The 22,109-nt window shown below is 36.1% G+C and overlaps 3 annotated features.

Moving 5' to 3' along the window:
* Positions 5,323-5,922: an enhancer, noted in NCBI's record as "OCT4-NANOG hESC enhancer chr13:68092811-68093410 (GRCh37/hg19 assembly coordinates)". NCBI's record gives its function as "activates a minimal SCP1, AML or CMV promoter by ChIP-STARR-seq in naive H9 embryonic stem cells {active_cell/tissue: H9 hESC(naive)}" and the evidence as "EXISTENCE:reporter gene assay evidence [ECO:0000049][PMID:30033119]".
* Positions 14,540-15,140: an enhancer, noted in NCBI's record as "H3K27ac-H3K4me1 hESC enhancer chr13:68083593-68084193 (GRCh37/hg19 assembly coordinates)". NCBI's record gives its function as "activates a minimal SCP1, AML or CMV promoter by ChIP-STARR-seq in primed H9 embryonic stem cells {active_cell/tissue: H9 hESC(primed)}" and the evidence as "EXISTENCE:reporter gene assay evidence [ECO:0000049][PMID:30033119]".
* Positions 15,141-15,741: an enhancer, noted in NCBI's record as "H3K27ac-H3K4me1 hESC enhancer chr13:68082992-68083592 (GRCh37/hg19 assembly coordinates)". NCBI's record gives its function as "activates a minimal SCP1, AML or CMV promoter by ChIP-STARR-seq in primed H9 embryonic stem cells {active_cell/tissue: H9 hESC(primed)}" and the evidence as "EXISTENCE:reporter gene assay evidence [ECO:0000049][PMID:30033119]".

The raw sequence follows: 22,109 nt of genomic DNA, 5'->3' as shown, positions 1-22,109 counted from the left end.
GGAAAAAGGGAAAATGGTAGGGCTGGGGCCTGAAAGTGTTCAGCAGTCAAACATTGAAAATGGAGTCTGATTCTTTATTACAAACTTACACCAAGAATGTTTTGTATTCTATTTAGAAAAGGAAAATGACAAAGTAAATGAGTCTTAGCCAACAAGAAATAGTGAAGGAGGGGCAAATATTAACGTCATAAGGCATGTAGAATGATTCTTCAGAAAGTAGCTCTGTAATAAACAATGATGTGGCTACCCTTAAGGTTAAAAAATGGAATTGGTGAGATATTTTCCACCTAGCTGATTGGCAAAGAACAATTAATTAAACAAATAAAACTCCAAGGTTCTGTGTTGGTAGAAGTGAGGTAAGGATCTGATGAATGAATGAAAATATTGCTTTTCTCTACAATCATAGTAACATGTTAGAAATTAAAAAGAAAAACATAAAAGCCTATGAAAAATAGCAGCATAAACTAAAATATACATTTAACAAAAAGTGAATGTTGCATTGAAATTAAATATAAAATCATAGTAAGACACAGGGGTGGGCGGAGGATATGCAAAACTTCCACACAAACAGAGAGACTTGCCATATTCTTTAATAGATGATTTTATGTCATAAAAACAGAGATTATCTAAGAATTAACACAAACATACAGTATAAGTATATCTTAATAAACATCTGATAGCACTGTTAAAATATCTCACAATTTGACTAAATCTATTACAATTAAAGTATAAGTAACATAAAATAACTCCTCATTTTGTGTTTTATTATATAATAATAAAATAGCAGGCATATGGTCAAGGGTGTATAGCAATTATTACATTTTAAAAAAGTTTGAAAGCAATATGAATATCTGTGGTAGATAGATGAGTGGATAAGTAGAATACCCACAAGGAGGTATATTTTGTCTTGTAAATGAATGAGTTAGAGACTTATCTAAGAGTTTGTGTACAATATGCATTTTTAATGAGAAACGTCATTTAAAGTATTTATAGTTGATATTTTTAAAAAGCAAATAAGTTCCAAATACATATATAATTGTATTTTTATAAAATGAAAAATGCATGAAGTCAAACACACTAGATCACCAATGTTTTCCAAAGGGAATGAAAATGGTGGGAGATATGGAAACATAATTCAATAAATATCTTGGTTTACTTAAATCAAAATTTATAAAGGAGAAAACATATATGTGTAGTGAAAAGTTTTGGAATAATAAATACCAGATTCAAAAATCTGAATACCTGTGAAGAAAGGGATGATAGGAGGAATAAATTTAAAAAACATTTATTTATGTAATATGCTTCTGTATTAAAGTTTTATGAATTGGTATATATACTTTAAAAATTATTGCAAAATTCATAGAATAAATAATTGCATTAATAAGTAATCATATAAAAATTGAAAAGGGCAAAGAAAAATACTTGGTTATTAAAATTTTAAAACCTTATATACTTGAATAAGTTGTTGTAAAGGTTTTTGTGTATTTGTGTGTTTTTGTTTTGGGGGTTTTTTTTTGGTAGAGATGGGTTTTGTCATGTTGTCCAGGCTGGTCTCGAACTCCTGGACTCAAGTGATCTGCCCACCTTGGCCTCCAAAAGTGCTGGGATTACAGATGTGAGCCACTGCACCCTGCCTTAAAATCTTTAGGGAGCAGATTTACTCAAGTCTCCAGTTTCAGTAGTCATGTAAAGGTCTGCAAAGCCTCAAGATCTACTGGAACAATTGTCTAATGGTTGAAGAGCAGAAACTCTGTTATGTTTGAAGGAACACATAAAATTCCTGCAGGAAATATAATTCTGACAAGGAATACAAAATGATATATTGCAACTTAAATAAAAGTTTCTAAAAAATCTTTACAGTCATGACAGGCAAAAAAAAAAAGACTTTTTTGTGCTTTCTATCTAATGAAATGAGAGCTGAGATAGGTGAAAATAGTGTTATAAAAATGTAATGTAAATAACCATTATTGCCCCAGGCCTTAAACTTTTTGAAATAGTATCTCATTTGTAAAATTGTTTATGCTGACATATAGTTTATGATTTCTAAAATCTACTATTATATGTAAATATTTATTAAGGATTCTTTTGTGGTATCACTACCCAAGTAGACTTACAGAGATATAAAATAAAGGTTGAATTGGTGCTCTCTATAAAAAATAAAACATAGCAATTTACAGAGCAAACTCAGAATCACATAAAAGTATTCCATGTTATTGTTCTTCCAAATTTTCTCTTGAAAGGAATCACGTTATATGTGTACATATATGTGTACATATGTTATATGTAATCAGATGTTATTTGTGCCTATTTTTGCACTATGAATTTATATCATCTTGTCAAATAGGCAGAGGTTTAGGAATCTGAACTAAGTAAAAAAAGACATTTGCAGTCTCTGGTTGCTGCAACTTTTCATGAAATGTGGCTATTTTTAATTTCCAATGACACTTTACAAGTCATTTGCCAAGCTTGCACATTTGAAGCAGCATCTCATTAGGTAAACTGCCAGTACTAATATTCTCTATTTATTTGCTATACATTTTTGCATAAGTAGTAGATTGTAACTTATATTGATTTTGTGTTGAAAGATGTGACAGATGAAATAAAATAAATAGATAGGGTATCAGATATAAAATTTAGTATTTATTATAAATTCAGGAAGATCTTGAATATCATGTTGGTGAATTTGAAAGTTTTATTATCTTACAGCACAATTATACTATTGCTCTTCAAGATTTCTTTCTTCTCAGGTATAGCTTTGACATGATTGTAAGTTGAAGATATTTTCCCTCTGAAATACAAGTTGGCCTGGAAAAAATCAAATATTTCCCATGTGCCCATCTTCCATTATATTTCAACTATTTCTCTGTCACTTTTGGTTAAAAGTGGTTAAAAGTGACACAGAAAATCATGCAGATTTTTTTAAAAGATGTTACTGATGACTGTATTCAAAATCATTTTTGGTGTTAAAGTAATCACATGTGATTCAAAGCTTGTCATTTGCTAAGAAATGAAATAATTGAAAATGTAAATAATAAAAAAATTACAATGGGTTCCTTTTACATTTGTTTATATATTTATGGGTCTAATCCCGAAGCACTTTTAAAAATACCCCTATTTTTGAATTCAGAAGCAAAGGACGTAATTTTTAACTTATTCTTAAAGATCACACTGTCCCCTTATTAAAGTGTAAGGCAAAGACCTACAAAAATTAAACAAAACATTCAGTACTCCTCAAACATTTGTACCAACTGTTATTTTAAAATTAATTAAATACATAAGTGCATCCTGGTGTAAAAAGAACTTACATGTCATCATCATTAAATCAAATCCACACACCATGTATTTATAATTTTATATTTTGAAAATTGCTATATATTTAGAGTATATTGCCTACATGTATCTTACAGGATATTTCTCATGGTAGAAGACAAATGCAGAGATCACATGGTGAAAAAGGAAGCAAGAGAGAGAGAGAAAGAGAGGAAGTGCCCGGCTGTTTTTAACAACTAGCTCTCACGCTAACTAAAAGAGCAAGAGCTCACTCACCCTCACCTCAGGAAGATCATTAATCTATTCATGAGGAACTGCCCTCATGACTCAAATACCTCCCACTAGGCCCCATCCCCAACATTGGGAAACAAATTTCATCATGAGATTTAGAGGGGACAAACATCCATCCAAACTATAGCATTCTGTCCCTGGTCCCCCCAAAATCTCACGTATTTCTCATGTTGAAAAACACAATCATCTTCTCCCAATAGTCCCCAAAATTCTTAACATGTTCCAGCACTAACTCAAAAGTGCCAAGTCAAAAGTCTCATTTCAGACTTGAGGCAAGTTCCTTAAAGATGTGGGCCTGTAAAATCAAAAACAAGTTATTTACTTCCAAGACACAATTGGTATACAGGCATTATGTAAAAAGTCTCATTCCAAAAAGGAGAAATCGGCCAAAACAAAATTCAAAACCCAGCAGGCAGATGTTAAATCCTAAAGCTCCAAAATATCCCATGATGGCATGTCCCTCTTCCTGGGCACCCTGGGGCCAGTGGTAGGCTCCCTACATCTTAAGCAGTCCCACTTTCTTAGCTTTTCTGAATGCAGCCCTACTGGCTGCTCTCAGCAGTTGAAGTCAAATGTCTATGCCTTTTCCAGGCTAAAGTGGCATACTGTTGGTGGCTGTATAATTCTGTGGTCACCATGGCAGCTCTGATCCCATGGCTCCACTAGGCATTGCCCCAGTGGAGACTTTCTGTATGGGGCTCAAAACCCACATTTCTGTGGAGCATTGCCTTAGTTGAGGTTCTCTGTGATGGCTCCACTCCTATGGAGGCTTCTGATTGGACACCCAGGTTTTTTGATACATCCTCTGAAATCTAGATGGAAACTTCCAAGTCTATACGGCTCTTGCATTCTGTGTGCCTACAGACTTTACAGCACATGGATGCTGCCAAGGCTCATGGCTTGTCTTACAGAAGCAGCAGTGAGAGCAGTACCTGAGGCCATTTGAACCGTGGCTAGAGCCAGAGCAGCTGGGATGTGGGAAGCAACATCCTGAGGTAGTCAGCATAGCAGCATCCCAGGCCTGTCCCCTAAAATCATTCTGTTATCCTATGCCTCTGGGCCTGCGATGGGAGTGGAGAGGGGGCCTTGATGATTCCTAAAATGCCTTCAGGGCCTTTCTGTTACTGTTTTGACTATGAGCAACTGGCTCCCTTTTAGCCATGCTAACCTCTCTAGCAAGTGGTTGTTCCACAGTACCCTTCAGTTACTCACCTGAAAATCCTCTTTCCTTCTCAAACACATTTCCAGGATTTTCCAAATTTGTATGCTCTGCTTCTCATTTAATTATAATTTGTACCTTTAGATCATTCCTTTGCTGCCATATCTGATCATAAGGTGTTGACAGTAGCCCTGCTACTTCTCAAACACTTTGCTGCTTAGAAATTTCTCCCACCAGATAGCCTACATGATCCCTCTTAAGTTCAGCATTTCACAAATTTCTATGACATGGACACAATGCAGCTAAGTTCTTTCCTATGGCTTAGTAAGGGTGACATTTGCTCCAGTTCCCAAGTTCCTCATTTTCATCTGTAACTTCATCAGCACAGGCTTTACTATTTGTTTCTATCTGCATTTTTCTCACAACTTGACCAGTGTCTAAGAAGTTCAAAACTTTTCCTCATCCATTTTTCTTCTTCTGAGCCCTCCAAACTCGTTCTACTTCTGTCATTACCCAATTCCAAAGTTGCTTCCTAATTTTCTGGTATTTTTATAGCAACACTGTACTCCTCTTTAAAATTTTATGTCTTAGTCTTTTTAGTGTATCTACAAAGAAATACCTGAGGCTGGGTAATTTTTAAAGAAAAGAGGTCTATTTTTCTCATGATTCTGCTGGCTAGAAAACTGGGCATCTGGTAAAAGCCTCAGGCTGATTCCACTCATGAAAGAAGATGAAGGGGAGCCAGCATGTGCAGAAATCACATGGAAAGAGAGAATGCAAGAGAGAGAGTGGAGCTCCCAGGCTCTTTTTAACAACCAGCTTCATGGAAGCTAATAGAGTGAAAACTCTCCTACCGTTCTCCCCAGGAGGGGATTAGTCTATTCATGAAACATTCAAACACTTCCCATTAGGCCCCATCTCCAACACTGGGGATCAAATTTCAACATGTGATTTGGAGGGCCAAACATTCAAACAACCACCAACCTGCTGGAGGGACTTCAGAGCACCCAAATTGTGTGAATTCAGGCTATGAATGCTGATATGATGACCTGTGAATACTGATATGATTACCTGTATCTAGAGTTGGGGAGTTGCATATTGGTAAACTATATATGTAATCATTTGCTGATTAAATGTTAAAAATGTGTCTAAAGAGTCTTGGATTCTATAAATAGCAGCCATTAAAGTGCTTAGGTAAAACTTGATCATAGATATTATTGGACCTTGCTACAAAAGTTCTAATTAGCTCTTGTAAATATGCAAAGTGAAACGCAAAACCTATAATCAAAGTGAAGATCAAGTCCTCAAAATTGCTTTTACCCATAAACTTTATTTTAAATTACAATTCATATCCACACAGAAATCACAAGATTTCCACACCAATACCTTCTCCAAATGACATTTTGTCATGATGTTGGCCAAATATATTTTATGTGATCCATGTATGAAAGAAAGTTTGTCCTGGCTCAAAGTGAAAGACATTTTTCTGGTCACATAATGAGATAAATATTGAAATCTTTCTTTTAATATAAATGTGATGTATGAGAAAATATAAGCATTATTATGACTTACCAAATTGCATATATATATATACATATATCATATGTAATGCCTTTGTTCCTTTACTCATCACCTGATGTTTCCCAGCTTTCCCTGGCTATTGTCCTTTGGACAGCATAAAGAGAGACAATTTCAATGTAAAACACTGTTTAAAAGCACTCTAGAAGTACATTAACAGTCACTATGTCAGCACTTAGTATGAAATTTTGAAGGTAATTTTTAACCTTTTCATCTTCTAAATTCTAGCTTGTCCTATTAAAAATACTTTCTCTTTCTCCTTTCCCCATTAAAGCCCTTGTTGTTATTTAAAACAAGAAAATGTACCATATCAAACAATTCAGAGATCCTCACTCTGCACATTCAGTACATGACAAGGGAAAGTGATGTTATCACAAACAGAGACTGCTTATATTCATTTATTATGCAAAATGACCGAGATGATCAGTTTCTTATTGAAAATGGTAAAAGAAGAAAAGGTTCAGAATGTCATAAAAGTGAAAAAAAAAGTATTTTCATGAATTCATTGACCTTTTCATTAATATCATAACAGAGTATAATCACTAAGCTTTTAAATGAGCAAGGTAGCTCAATACCGAAGGACGGCTTGAGAAGTCTCAAGGGCTTATGTTGCCAGAACAAGACCCTGACACTAAAAGTAAAAGGGTAAATGAGAATCATGTTTAGTGATGACCTTTAGGTCCCACAGCTGCTTACCACATATCCTGTCTTTTTGCTTTACTGTTACACTTTAGCTTATTAAAATTAATTGTGTTCTATTTTAGATATTAAGCATTTTTGGCTCATAACCTTCTCTGTTGAATGAACAGTAACACTCTTTTTTTCTATCACACTTGATGTATGATGATAATAATTCCCATTTTGTGATTTAAATGAATACAATAAGTAAAAGAGGTCTTATAATTTTTGTCAAAAAATAAAAATAAAAATTTAATTTAAAAATAATAGAAAAAGTCACAAGTTCCAATAAGGAAGAAATTTTGGAATAATAAAAAGAGAATAAAATAAACCAGGTGTGTACAATAAATGTATTTCCTACAATGGGCATTTAAATACATTTTTGTGTATTTGAATGATATGGTTTGGCTGTGTCCCCGCCCAAATTTCATCTTGAATTATAACTCCCACAAGTATCATGTGTTGTGGGAGGAAGCTGGTGGGAGGTGATTGAATCATGGAGGTGGGTCTTTCCCATGCTGTTCTCGTGATAGTGAGTGGGTCTCATGAGATTTCATGGTTTTAAAAACAAGAGTTTCCCACGCAAGCTCTTCTCTTTTTGTTGTAAGACGTGACTTGCTCCTCCTTGCCTTCCACCATGACTGAGAGGGCTCTCCAGCCACGTGGAACTGTGAGTCCATTAAACCTCTTTTTCTTCCCAGTCTTGGGTATGTCATTATCAACAACGTGAACACGGACTAATACATTAAACTTACTTTTTTTTCTATTGATATGTACTATATATTCAGAGAAAATTATTTCCCCATCTAATTGACAATATTATTGGGAATATTTTAGTAGTTTATTTTTTGGTGCCTCAACTCACAAAAAGGTAGATAGTTATTAAGAAGTATACTATTACATTTCTAGTGTAAATGAACATGTGTTTCATCATTTTATAAAGAGAATGGTTAGCCCCTAATTTATACATGTTGTCAGATGAAGCTTTGATATTTAATACATACATTTCTGTATTTCTACAAACTATATATTAAATGGGATGATCAGAGTATTTTTTAAAAGGTAAAATTTGTGAATAAGAGAAGTCAAATATTGTTATGAGCTCTTTATCAGACATATACATATATAAATACATACACACAAATATGCACATATGTGTATACATATATATAGTACACAGGCACATACGCATCATATATTCTCCATATATGCTATGTATGTTTAATCCTCTCAACATCTAGAGGACTTAGGTATACGTTTTATCTTTACAAAGAAACTGGGACAAGAAAGGCTTGTACCAAGGAAAAATCCTAACGAGGTTTGGGAGACATAATTTTCCTTCCAACTCAGGAGACTTTTGAGAGTGAAAGTGGGCTTGTAATAAAAAAATGAGTTCAGCAAGCATAATTGGAAACTGTTCTAGGAAACCCAGATGTATGTTTGCATTGTAATGGGTACCTGGTGAAACTGGAACTGAAGCTTAAACATTCTGAAACCACAGACCGTATTCTTAAGCTCTGTTCTACACTGCCTCCAAACTGGTGTCATTAACTTATGAGTCACACTTTATGTTTTGTTCTGTTTTGTTGTAACCCAAAACCCAATATTTATTGAGAGCATATGGTTGCCAGAAACAGTGTTTTCATGTTGGGGTTGCATTTTTGAACAAGCTGAGTAAGTCTTGATACAATTGAATTTACATTCTTTTAGAGAGAAGAGACAATGGACAAGAAAAATATAAATGAGCCAAACAAGAAATACAGAATATAATAATATGATGCAGAATAACATGGAGGTTTAACAGTAACATAGGATAGTGAGGAAAAACAACACCAAGTGTGACATTTAAGCTAAGATCAGAAAAATGGAAAGTACATTATGAAATAGGTCAAGGAAATATTGATCAGGAGAGAAGAAAAAGTATGCTCAAAGGCCCTGAGGTGAGAAAGAATTCAAAATGTTCAAAGAACTGAAAGTAGTGTGACTGTAAGAAGCAAGTTAGGAGAATAGAGAATGAATTGAGGTTGGAAACACAGGCGGATGTTTTACAAACATGACAAGGCATTTGACTTTACCCTAATGGGCTTTGAAAACTCTTTGAAAGGTTTTAATTCTTTCATTAAAAGTATTTAATATTTACTGTGTTTCAGACACTGTGCTTAAGTTACATGAAAGGTTAAAAATGCTGGTGAGGGAAGAGAGTAAAATATTTTAATAGAGCATTCAGGAAGGAGATTTGGGGTAGGAGTAAGCCATATGGATATTGGGGAAGGGTAACGGAGGAGGGATAATGAGCAGCAGGAAAGACCAGTGTAAAAGTTTTCAAATGGGAGGTTATATGATGCGTTCTTGAACAAGCAGAGAAGCCTGAATTTCTGGAGCAGAGTGGGAGGGGCAGAAACAGAATAAGAGGTCAGAGAATGATGAGAGAAGGAAGAAGAGTAGATCATGTAGAGCTTTGTAAGCAATTAGTAAGGCTTAGGGTTTTCCTTTGATTGACATGGAGATCTATTAGCAAGGTTAGAAGAGAGAAGTGAATTTAGCTGATGTACATATTTAAAAGGTTACACTTACTGCTGGGACAAAGAACAGGTGGAGGCAGGGAGCCCAGTTAGGAAGCTATTGTATCACTCCACTTGAGAATGTGGTTTCAACGAAGTGGGCTAGGAGAAATGCAATTTTTCATGGGACTTGGAGATTGACTCAAGAGTATTTTGTTATGAATTAGATGTGGAGTATGAGAGGAAGGGCAAAGTTCAGATTATTCGTTTAGAAATTAAAAGAATAGCATTTTCATTAACTTAGTTGCAGAACACTGCGCATATAGCAGGTTTAGCTTCACTTCTGCTGCAAGAGTTCAGGTTTGGGTATGTCAATTATGAAGGGTTTATTAGATATTCCACGGAAATGTTAACTATATCTACCAATATCTCAAGCTAATGTTAAATAAGCAGGCGGATGTATGAACTTAGGGGAGCACTCACTAGTAGATACATAAATCTGAGAGTTGGTGGCATATTGATATCATTGAAAGCGATACAATAAATGAGATACATATTTAAGAGAGTGATTTTTCAGTAAAGAAAAAAAGATCCTGGGTATTCCAGCAGGAAGGAGGAGAAAACTGTGAAGTAGATTGGGAAGAGAGAGCAAGTGGGGTAAAAAGAAAGCCAAAAGTAATCGGGATCATAGAAAAATATTGAAGAAAATGAATTACCAAGGATATAGAGAGCAGAATAAAAGGTTACACAAACTGAAGACTGAGAATTGACCACAAGTCTTGTTAGCATGGAGGCCTTGATGAATATGACAAAAACCACTTTGACAGAGTGATTGAAGTGAAAGTCAGATTGAAGTGTGTTTTAATAATTGGAAGAAAGAAATTTGAAATAACCCAGTGAGTGAGCATAATATTTTCAGGGAGTTTTGCTTCAAGCAGAAACAAAAATAAAGGCAGAGGTAGCAGATGAGAAAAGTCGTATCAAGAAAAAAATAAAAAATAAAAACGTGTTTTTTTGGTTTGTTTATTTTGTAAAAATGGGTAGCTAACAAGAAGTTTGCACGATGATAGGAAAGATCTAATTAAAAAATTAATGATGAGAATGGGGGGCAAATTTCTGCAGCAATATTTTAGTGTAAGGAGAGGAGTGGAATGTGGTAAAAATGTTAGGGGCCTGATTAGCTTTAGAGAGTAATAGAAGATATGGGTACAGATTCTGATAAATGGGTAGATATAATGATGGCGTTTACAGGAAATTTGGCTCAGCTATCTACAGTTTTCAGAGAAGCAAGGTCACATAAGAATGGGTTTATAGGAAAGGTATTCAAGACTTAAGGAGGAAAGAGAAGATGTGAAATTGACATTCAGGAGAAAAGGAGAGTGACACATAAGGAATGACAGCATAACTGCGAACAGCCTTAGGAGTCGGCTTCATGTTTATCATCATGACTATAAAATGATACCAGTCAACACAAGTGTATGTTTTTCTACATTCACATTCAGCTGTATTGGTACAAGCATGGAGTAGGAGGAGAGCCGGATTTAGTTGGTTACCAATTTTGTAAAGAGGGTATAAAAAATTAGAGTGTATATGAAAGTTTTTATTCTAATGATTGATTATGAAATTAATCCAGGTAATCAGAAAAGAGAGAAACTGAGGGAATGAAGGAAACTGAAAAAAAGTTCAATACAGTTAAAAAGACTTTTGAAATATTCAAATGGAATGAACTAGAAAGATATAGTGTAGTCATGAGAGAACAAGATCCATCAAATTCAGATTAAGAAGGGTCTGATATCATAGGTGATGACAAGCTCCAGAATATGCTTCTGGGAGTGCCTGAGACAGGGTAAAACGTAAGATAAATAGAGGAGAGAATTAAGAAACTAAATATCCAGTTGCCACAAAGAGAAACTACTCTGAAATTATTGAGAAAAGTCATCAAAGTAGTGTTGAAGAACCTCTGAAGCAGAAGTTTAAAATGTTAAAATCTGGGAGAGTCTGCTAAAGGAATGGCAGTAGACGAGAATGAGAGGTATAACTAGTTAATTCAGAAAACATGGGATTCAAAACAATTTTTAAAGAGAAAGGGGGAAGAATTATCTGGAAATGACAATGAAGAGTGAGTAGGACACCAACCTGGTGGATTCAGGCTGTGGAAGGAAAACAACAGCAACAACGCCTTCGTCAATTGAGAAGGCTGCAGGGGAAGAGCGTTGCAAAATGGAGCAAGACTATGAAGGCTTCAGAGAAAAGCTTGAAGATCCAGGGAATTTTCCCTCAGATGACATAGTGAAAAGTATATGACAATGACAGAAGAGTGGGAATGAGGGCTGCTGGAGGGATTACAATGCAGGAGCTGTGAGGTGACTCAGAAATGAGCACCTTCAATTGTGGACTGATTACAAAATAAGTTCTGATGGACAAAAGGCAGATAAAAATATCAAGGCTATGCATGCCAGAGCAGGCAGCAGGTCTGCAGCTTTCTCCTGACTTCTGTGAATGCAGAGTAGGAATCCTGAGGATGCATGGTCTTAGTCTCAGTGTTTAGGGTTATCTTTAAACACAAGTAGCAGGAGGAATGGATTTAACCTAATGCTGCCTATGGACACATTGACCCCTGTTAGTGAGAAAGAGGTGTTACACCAAGCCTGAGGGGCATGCTACTGATCTTGTAAATAGAGTTATGAAGTGGAGAGCTGTGGTTTTAGTCCCTGTGCTATGGATGTGGATTTAGTATGAACTGACTTATTTTTATCAAAGCTCAATCTGATTACCCTATAGGGGATGAGCTAGAACCAAGAGTGGAAGGGGGAAAATGGGGAAATTATTGCATTTGTTCAAATGAGAGATGATGATGCTTAGATTATGGTGATAAAATGAAAATGGAAAATAATGTATTGGTTATGCATACAGGCATTATTTGTTATGCATAGTAATACAGGACTCTAACAATGACCATGCAAGCTGAAACTGCACAAAGCGATGTTAAAATCAGTGGGAAAATTATTGTTCTGTGACCTTTAAAATTGGTTGTTAAGACATAAACACTCCAATACTGTCAGTTATAAACGTATAGGGAAAGAAAAATAGCAAAACTAATATATATTTAGAAATTTAAAATGTTAAAACCATTGAAAATATATATATTTTTAAAAATAGTAGTTTGAATAGTGTTTGTCTTCTTTGCATATTATAACTCATGAAACTGAAACAATATTTTTTTTCTGTTTTGTAAAGTTTATTATACTTCCTTCTAAGTTTGGATCAGCATGCAACATTTTATTCTTTGTACCTTTATTGTCAGAAATCATCTTTAAGAGTTCCTCTAATGTGAAGTGTTCTTTTCTGGTATCATGTCCTCTGGGATATCTTAATCCTTTTCATCACATCACTTACTTCATTCATGTCCATGAGCTCACCTGCACCAAGTTCCTCTGGCTGCACATCTAGAGCCTGTCAAACAGTGGAGTATCAACTCTTCTACCATTAGCTATCTTTTCTATAATTCCAGTTACATTAGATTTTAATTTCACTTTTACTGCTACCACTTTTATTTTCTTTGCTGTGTTTTACTATTTTTTGGCAATTTCCTCTTTCCGTTACCTAATTTGAAAAAACATATCACAGGGGTTTATCAATAGGAGACAAGGAAGCAACACAATTACATGCTTTGCTGTCTGCATCTGAACTGAATAGCAAGTGTGTAAGGACTGCTCACTGACACACTTTGTAAAAAGTTGCATGGTTAGACATTGATCATGAGGCATATTTGTTATGTATGCAGCAATTTGTAGACTAAAAAACTAGCAGCAGAATCTGTACTTTATGCCATTAGTCAAAGTTAATATGCCATAATAGCTAAAATTCATGCATATTAGAATCATAAAATTTAGGAAATGCCTGAATGTGTGTGTGTGTGTGTGTTTCGTGTGCATTTTATTGTTGTTTTTAAAACCAGCAGTGTAACTAAAATAGAAAATCCTGGATGAGTTTTAGGTTAAAATATCACAAACTGTTTTGGGCTTGTGAAAACAGAGACACCTATGAAACCTAAGACAAAAGGTAGTAAGTGATCATAATAGAATTCTGGATGTCTGTGAAGATGTGAAATCTGAATAATCTAAATTAATGCTGATACAATTTAAATGAAATTTCCTGAGAAGAGAGTGGAAACAGAAAAGATTCACAGAAATGAGTCCAAGAAACTGAAAATGTCAGAATTTTATTCAAGGAGCAGAAGCCAGCAAAGAAGCTGCAGGTATTAGTCAGGGATCCAGAGGAATAAACATGGGAAAGAATGTTTTAAGAAGTTACGAAAATAAATGAAGCAGAGTTCCTTCTCTTCAGGTTCTCTAGTGGGGATGACAAGCACACACACTGACACACCAAACAATCTCTTGTGATTTTTGGTAACATGATAATATTCTAGCTATCAACCCACACTAAGTTAACATAATGGAATTTCTGTACATTCATTCAAGGATCACCAGTTATTGATCCTTGATATTTCCACCAAGGCTATGCTCTCCTGTGAGGCACTGCCTAGAGAAACCAAAGTTTATCTACAAAGATATATGAAGACTGGAAACACTTTGAAAACAGAGAAGTCTATGAACATATATTGTAATTTTATATTGTTTCACAATTCAAAAAAGCAATGAAGGCCTATAAAGCCATATTGTATTAGTCTGTTTTCACACTACTGATAAAGATGTACCTGAGACTGGGCAATTTTAAACAGAGAGGTTTAATTGGACTTACAGTTCCACGTGGCTGGGGAAGCCTCACAATCACGGCGGAAAGCAAGGAAGAGCAAGTCTTGGCAGGAGGCAAAGAGATAATGAGGAAGAGAGAAAAGCGGAAACCCCTGCTAAAACCATCAGATCTCATAAGACTTATTCACTACCATGAGAACAGTATGGGGGAAACTGCCCCCATGATTCAAATATCTGCCACCAGGTCCCTCCCACAACATGTGGGAAATATGGGAGTACAATTCGAGATGAGATTTCGGTGGTGACACAGAGCCAAACCGTTTTATTCCTCTCCTAGCCCCTGTGAAATCTCACGCCCTCACATTTCAAAACCAGTCATGCCTTCCCAGCAGCCCCCCAAAGTCCCTTCTCCCTATGAGCCTGTAAAATCAAAAGCAAGCTAGTTACTTCCTGGATAAAATGGGAGTACAGACATTGGGTAAATACAACCATTCCAAATGGGAGAAATTGGCCAAAACAAAGGGGCTACAGGCCCCATACAAGCCTGAAATCCAGTGTGGCAGTCAAATCTTAAAGCTCCAAAATGATCTCCTTTGACTCCATATCTCACATCCAGGTCCTGCTGATGCAAGAGGTGGGTTCCCATGGTCTTGGGCAGCTCTACCCCCGTGGCTTTGCAGGGTACAGCCTCCCTCCTGGCTGCTTTCATGGGCTGGCATTGAAGGCCTGCGGGTTTTTGAGGTGCACAGTGTAAGCTGCTTGTGGATCTATCATTCCGGGGTCTGGAGGATGGTGGCCTCTTCTCACAGCTCCAGGAGGGACTCTGTGTAGGGGTGGTGCCCCAGTAGGGACTCTGTGTTGGGGCTCCAACCCCACATTTTCCTTCCACACTGCCCTAGCAGAGGGTCTCTCATGAGCGCCCCACCCCTGCAGCAAACTTCTGCCTGGGCATCCAGGCGTTGCCATACACCTTCTGAAATCTAGGCAGAGGTTCCCAAACCTCAATTCTTGACCTTTGTGCACCCGCAGGTTCAACACCATGTGGAAGCTGCCAAGGCCTGGGGCTTGTATCCTCTGAAGCCACAGCCCAAGCTCTACATTGGCCCCTTTCAACCACTGCTGAAGCAGCTGTGGGACACAGGGCACCAAGTCCCTAGGCTACACACAGCGCAGGGACTCTGGGCCTGGCCCAGAAAACCACTTTCTCCTCATAGGCCCCCTGGCCTGTGATGGGAGGGGCTGCGGTGAAGACCTCTGACACGCCCTGGAAATATTTTCCCCATTGTCTTAGCGATTAACATTTGGCTCCTGGTAACTTATGCAAATTTCTGCAACAAATTTCTGCAGCTGGCTTGAATTTCTGCCCAGTAAATGGGATTTTATTTTCTATGGCATAATCAGGCTGCAAATTTTTCAAACTTTTATGATCTGTTTCCCTTTAAAATGGAATGCTTTTAACAACACCGAAGTCACCTCTTGAATGCTTTACTGCTTAGAAACTTCTTCCACCAAATACCCTAAATCATCTCTCTCAAGTTCAACGTTCCACAAATCTCTAGGGCAGGGGCAAAATGCTGCCAGTCTCTTTGCTAAAACATGACAAGAGTCACCTTTGATCCAGTTCCCAAAAAGTTCCTCATCTCCATCTGGGACCACCTCAGCCTGGACCTTATTGTCCATATTGCTAGCAGCATTTTGGGCAAAGCCATTCAACAAGCTTCTAGGAAGGTTCAAACTTTCCCACATTTACCTGTTTTCTTCTCAGCCCTGCAAACTGTTCCAATCTCTGCCTGTTAACCAGTTCCAAACTTGCTTCCACATTTTTGGGTATCTTTTCAGCAATGCCCCACTCTACTGGTACCAATTTACTGTATTAGTCTGTTTTCACACTGCTGATAAAGATATACCCGAGATTGGGCAATTTACAGGCAGGAGGCAAAGAGAGAATGAGGAAGACACAAAAGCAGAAACCTCTGCTAAAACCATCAGATCTTGTGAGACTTATTCACTACCATGGGAACAGTATGGGGGAAACTGCCCCCATGATTCAATTATCTCCCACTGGGCCCCTCCCACAACATGTGGGAATTATGGGAGTACAATTCAAGATGAGATTTGGGTGGAGACACAGAGCCAAACTATATCACATATGAATGGGCACCCCCCCAATAAAACTCATAATTTTGTATTGCACATCATAATGAGGCCTGGTTTACCTCCTAAAGCATTGTTTTATTTTTCCATCTTGAATTTCTTAACTTCTAATAACTAAAAAAAAATTAGCCCTCTTACTGGGAAGCACAGATATCATAGGCTTCAAGGCTAACTTAGTTCTATTCTGCCAGTTCCATTTCTTTGCACTTTTCTTGGTTTGGCATCTGCAAGCTAGGCTCCATTCTGCACATAAATCCAGAGAAAGAGAAAGTCTTAAAACTTTCTGTCTTATGTCCTACTGGGTCAGTTTGGATCATTGTGCATTATCATCAGAGGAAAACTGTGAGGTAATTGGTTCTAGTCAGGGATCCTGAGTCATTCACTAGCAAGGGCGATGGGATTTGTATTTAAAAAGACCTATAGAGGAGAGCCATGACCCCAAATACATGGCTACTTCACCATGGAAGAGAGGTGAAATGCAGGTTAAATCAATCATATCCACCCTGTTCTCTATAATCAAACTTTTGGCTCCTTCTCAAACCATATCATTTATTACCACATGATGGAATGATATAATAAATTGGCTCTTTGGTGCTTTGTGTTCTCATTTATAAAATAATTGTGTATTTCTAAAGCTCTACTCTATTCTCTTCTTGCTCTAAACTCTTCTTAGCTCCATTCACAATAGACTCCTTTATTTATTCTAGCTTCTTACGTACAGGCCTTCACATATGCTATTGTTCCATTTGCCTGGAATTAAAGAACAAAAAACAAAAAACTTTTGTATTCTTTAAAATTCTCAGTTTAACTGTCACTTTCTCAGAAAAATTTCTCAGATACTATTCTCAGACTAATAAAACTCCTCTCTCACAGCAATTTGCATGTCTTTTCTAAAGCAGTCCTTGGTAGCAATTAACTAATTAATCATTCAAATATTTATTTCATCAAAATTTGTATAACCTGGTCTATTTTAGGCCCTATGAGGGCAGGGTCTTGTCTCTACTTTCACTGTTGTGCGCCCATTTCTAGGAGAGAAATGTGAGCATGGCCTTTTTGACATGTTTATGGAAGGGAACGAAGAACAGATGGAGTAATTGGAAGGTAGGGAGGAAGAAGGGAAAGAGAAAGGGAGGGGGAGGACTGAAGGAATTATCCACCTACCTTCAGGGATGGTGGAAAGATACATTTAAAATGGCAGTTCAGTAAAAGCAATAGCTTAGATTGGTATGCTATATGTTTCCATGGCACCCTGTTCCACTGCTTTCCTAACAATCATCACATCTGAAATTTGTTGTTTATTGTTCTTCTTCTCCAAGGGATTTTTATGGTTCCTGTGGAAGAGACCAGCTCAATCTCCTTTATCAACTTATTCTCAGGGCCGAGCACTGTTTTGGACCCAAAAAGTGCTAAATTAAGTTGAATGAGTAATAAATTATGATTTATAATATTTTGTCAATGGGGTGATTAAATTGCCCACTCTAAAATTAAATTCTTGATTTAATACATTTCTTTGTCCTCTTAATCAAAATGGGCTCTCATATTTTAGACCAGTTGATTGAATAAATGAGGTGTCACTGTGTATTCATTCATTGCAGCTGTCCAGGTCATCCAACAGAGCCCTTTCACCCCCTATTTGTGTCTCCAGCCTTCAGAATAGAGTATGTCCAGAACAACTTAATCAAGTTTAAGCACAGAAAAATGTGGACTTAATTTGGCATCTTTGTGCATATAAACAAGTAGGTTCTTTTAATCTACTGTTCCTTCTTCTGACATAGAAACTTTGATAAATGAAGCAGTAATTTTTGGAGATTATGACATTCATTATCTTTTTTGCTTATCTTCAGCAGCAGACCTTTTTCCTTTTCCAAGAGAAATTTTCTTTGTGGCAAGGCTGTTTACTTCTCACAGAGTTATTTTAAAGCAAATGTCATGTGGGGATATCACCAGGTAACCTTAAAGCAAGGCTTTTTCACTACAACTCTATTTTATGAAGTGGTTCTTTTCATGGCAAAGCCATCTCAAAACACTGTCAAAATTGGAAACAAAACAAAAGTCACACAGTCAGAAAAATCAATGATCTTTCAAATAATCCAAGATTAAATCAAATCAAACTAACTCTAATCTTAAACTCTAAAGCCAGTCATGAGTTGTCTCACTTGAGAAGGCCAATAAAGACTAAATTCTAGACACTTGGGTTGCAATAGTAGGTATCGTTTAGGTAATAATGGTTTATCCAAAGTCTGAATGATCTCAGAATTAGTTCACACAGTGTAAACATTGAAAAAAGCTAGACCAAGCTAACAATTCATATTCAAACAATTTACAACATAAATATTTTTACTAATCAATTTAAACTGGAAACTTGCTCTCGAATTGTGCTTTACGTATAATAGTATTTAGAAAGTATTGCCTCATCAGTAAATGGCCAGTAAAAAAGCCTCTGTTTTCTTCACTCAAGAATAAAATTCTATTTGTGATGTAAAAAACAAGCAAACAAACAACAACAACAACAATAAACAGCAAGAAAGGAAAACCATTACTGAAGGTTACAAATTTGTTCATATGGTATAGGCAACTGTGGAACAAATAACTTATAGTTTCCAAATATTCTATATTTCCCAACCTAAATGTATTTTTCACATAATTAAGTAAAATTACAGAAAAAAGTGTTGGCAATATGCCCAGAACACATTTTTATTGTTTATATTTAGTCAAGTAATTTGATCTGCTTTAAGCAATATAGGTCATTGGAAATCTAATTCTACACATGAGTAGATTACAAAGAACAACTTGTAAATGAGAAATACTTAGTTTAGAGTAGTATTTTCTGAAACATGATATAACTATCTATAACAGGACTTGAATGTATGAACATAATATCAAAAGATAGTCATGAATATATGTATGAGAAATATTTTCATAATAGTCTAATGCCAGCATCAATAATTATATTTTTTTCATTCTATAAATCTGACTTTATTAATATTTTCTCTTCAGTTAGTATGTTCTCTTCAGTTAGGAAATAGATTTGCAGACCAAAAATTGATTTAGAACTAAATGACATATTCATAGAGTAAGTTTTGTAAACTCAAGGCTTAATGTGAAGAAGGAGAAATGTTATCGGTGTGGTGGGCAGAATAACAGCTCCTCAAAGATGTCCACATTACCCATCAATACGTTAACTTACAGGGCAGAAATGATTAAGAATCTTTGATGGGGAGATCATCCTGGGTAACGCAGGTGAGCTCAGTTTAGTCACAAGTATCCTTATAAGAGGAAGGCAGTGATATCAGAGTCAGAGATAGAAATTTGAAGATGCTATACTGCTGGCTTTGACAGTAAAAGAAAGAACCATGAGCCAAGGAACGCAGGTGGCTAGCCTCTAGAAGCTGTAAAACGCAAGGAAATTGATTCTCCTTTAAAGCCTCCAGAAGCAGTGCAGCCCTGCTGACAGCTTGATTCCAATTCAGTGAAACCAGTTTCAGACTTCTGACCTTCTGATGATATTGAATTTGTGCCGTTTTTAAGACATAAAATTTGTGACAATTTCCTATAGTGGCAAAAGAAAAGTAAGATAATTTTCTGATAAAAATAAAAGTAATAATAGATTACTAATACCATGCTTGCTATATGTTAGGCATACATTAAGCACTGTTCATTAAATATATCATTTCATCTATACAATAATACTGACTCATTATTAATTATTCTCACCATTTTACAGAGGAGAAAGGTATATTTTATTGAGGGAAATAGCATATGTGAAGCATGCAAAACTAAGTGGAAGAGGTGGGATTGGTGCCCATAAACATCTAACTCTTATGACAAATAGTGTAAGTTGAAAGAAAGATAAAATTCTAATAATCTCCTCTACTCCTAAATACATTTGGCCGTTCTATTAATTCTACATGTTTTTCTTAAAATAATTCAGGTAGAAAAAAATATTCTGTCCAGGAGGAATACATGAGTCACAACAGGAGAACTGAATATGACTTCCTTTTTATTCATTTAACACATCCACAGTGAGAACTGTAGGTCAGTGTGGGTATCTCAGAGCAATCATCCCTTCTTTCATAAATGTTTGTCCTCTGGGCAGGCACCACACTGAAGCCATATGTTGTTGCACCCCTGGATGCAGCTGATTGGTCCAGACTTGGGTACCTGTATCAGATTTATTCATACAGCTGCCCCTTCCTGGGAATTCAAATTGGTGTTACAAAAGATGTACTTCATCTCTCCTGGAATGCTGAGTGCTGAATGCTCCTGTATTATGGATACTCAGAGGCACCTAGTGGTTTCACCACATGGTCCAGAGAAATAGAGAAGGCTGTTCTGCAAAGAGTGAGAAAGAATTCGGTATAAATGTAGATAAATAATTTTGATGAATGCAGACAGAACTTTGAAATTTTGCCAGGTTTGGGGTCTAGTATACTAAAACACAGTGCAGTACTAACTATGCTACAATGTTACTAATTGTGCTCTTCTCCTTGGACTCTTTGAGATACCTTATGACAGATGTTTACTAGAGTTAACTTCAAGGGCTTGTGTTTCTTGCAAGGTGATCAGATTTGTATCACATATTGTACCAGATCCTAGATGTAATAATTCACCATCCCTTCCTTCAAATAACCTATGTCCTATTGCGGTTGATTAAGACATATTTTTACAAGTGAACATTTTACATGACAGAAAGAAATTGGCATTAACCAGCACATTTTAGGCCACCAATATTAAACCCTGAAATTCCAGAAAATCAATTTTCAATTACTTGCGATTGTCATTTCTCCCTCCTACCTTCCTGAAGGCAGACATTCAGGCGAAAATTCTAGTATGAAATGCATTTAAAAAGAAAAAAAGTGCTCCTCTTATGTGCCTTAGCTTATTCCCTAATGTAATATAGTCAATCCTATTCACTCATCAGTTTTCCAATTATGTTACCCTATTTGATTAATTTCCTCATTAACATAATAATTGGTGATCATAAAAAATCATTTTCTTACCTCATTACTGTGACATATAATTCCTGCTGCTTCCTTATCATCATCTTCCTATTCATCGTCTAATCAACTTACCTTGAAAATAAAATGTCCTAGAAATATTGATTTCATATATTTCTTTAAAAGCCAGACATGTATTTATCAATCTGTACCATTTTATATGATTGTTTTATGATCAACATGACTCTCTTTTCTGTTTCTGCTCCTCTTGCTTCAGATTTTCAATGTGCTCTACCCTCCAAGGAGCCTTAACCTTTGAGAGTGAATTCCAGATTTACTCTTACAAATATTTTTAAATCCCGCAACATTCTTATTTTAAATGTATGATTTCTTCTCCTGTGGACTAATGATAAAAATCCTCTTCCTTTAGATTATCAGTCTCAGCTGTCCATGACATGGTTCACATCATGATATTAGATCTTTTTCCACAAAGTGGCTGTAAATGTGTTTATAGACGTGATTGTAATGCCCTCACCTCTAGACTTTTCGTGATTACTTCCTATCCTTGTGTACCCATTGCCCTTTATTCCTCTTTCAGAAAGCACATCACATGCTGGTTTACGTCCAAGTCATCTTGTCTTGCAATGTCTTTCCCCAACTGATTAACTATATTTGTGAACAGATGTTGCTTTTATTTATTAATAAAATATACCAATGCATGATCTTGAATATAGTGGGTGAACAATATTATTCTAACAGCACATTATTTTTCTAAGACTCTGCTGCAGTTTTCCAGTTTACTTCATCTTCCCAACTTCTGCTTTTT

The sequence above is a fragment of the Homo sapiens genome, chromosome 13 (genome assembly GCF_000001405.40).
Source record: "Homo sapiens chromosome 13, GRCh38.p14 Primary Assembly".
NCBI lineage: Eukaryota > Metazoa > Chordata > Mammalia > Primates > Hominidae > Homo > Homo sapiens.
The sequence above is the reverse complement of the archived record's forward strand: the minus strand, read 5'-3'. Positions and strand labels throughout refer to the sequence as shown.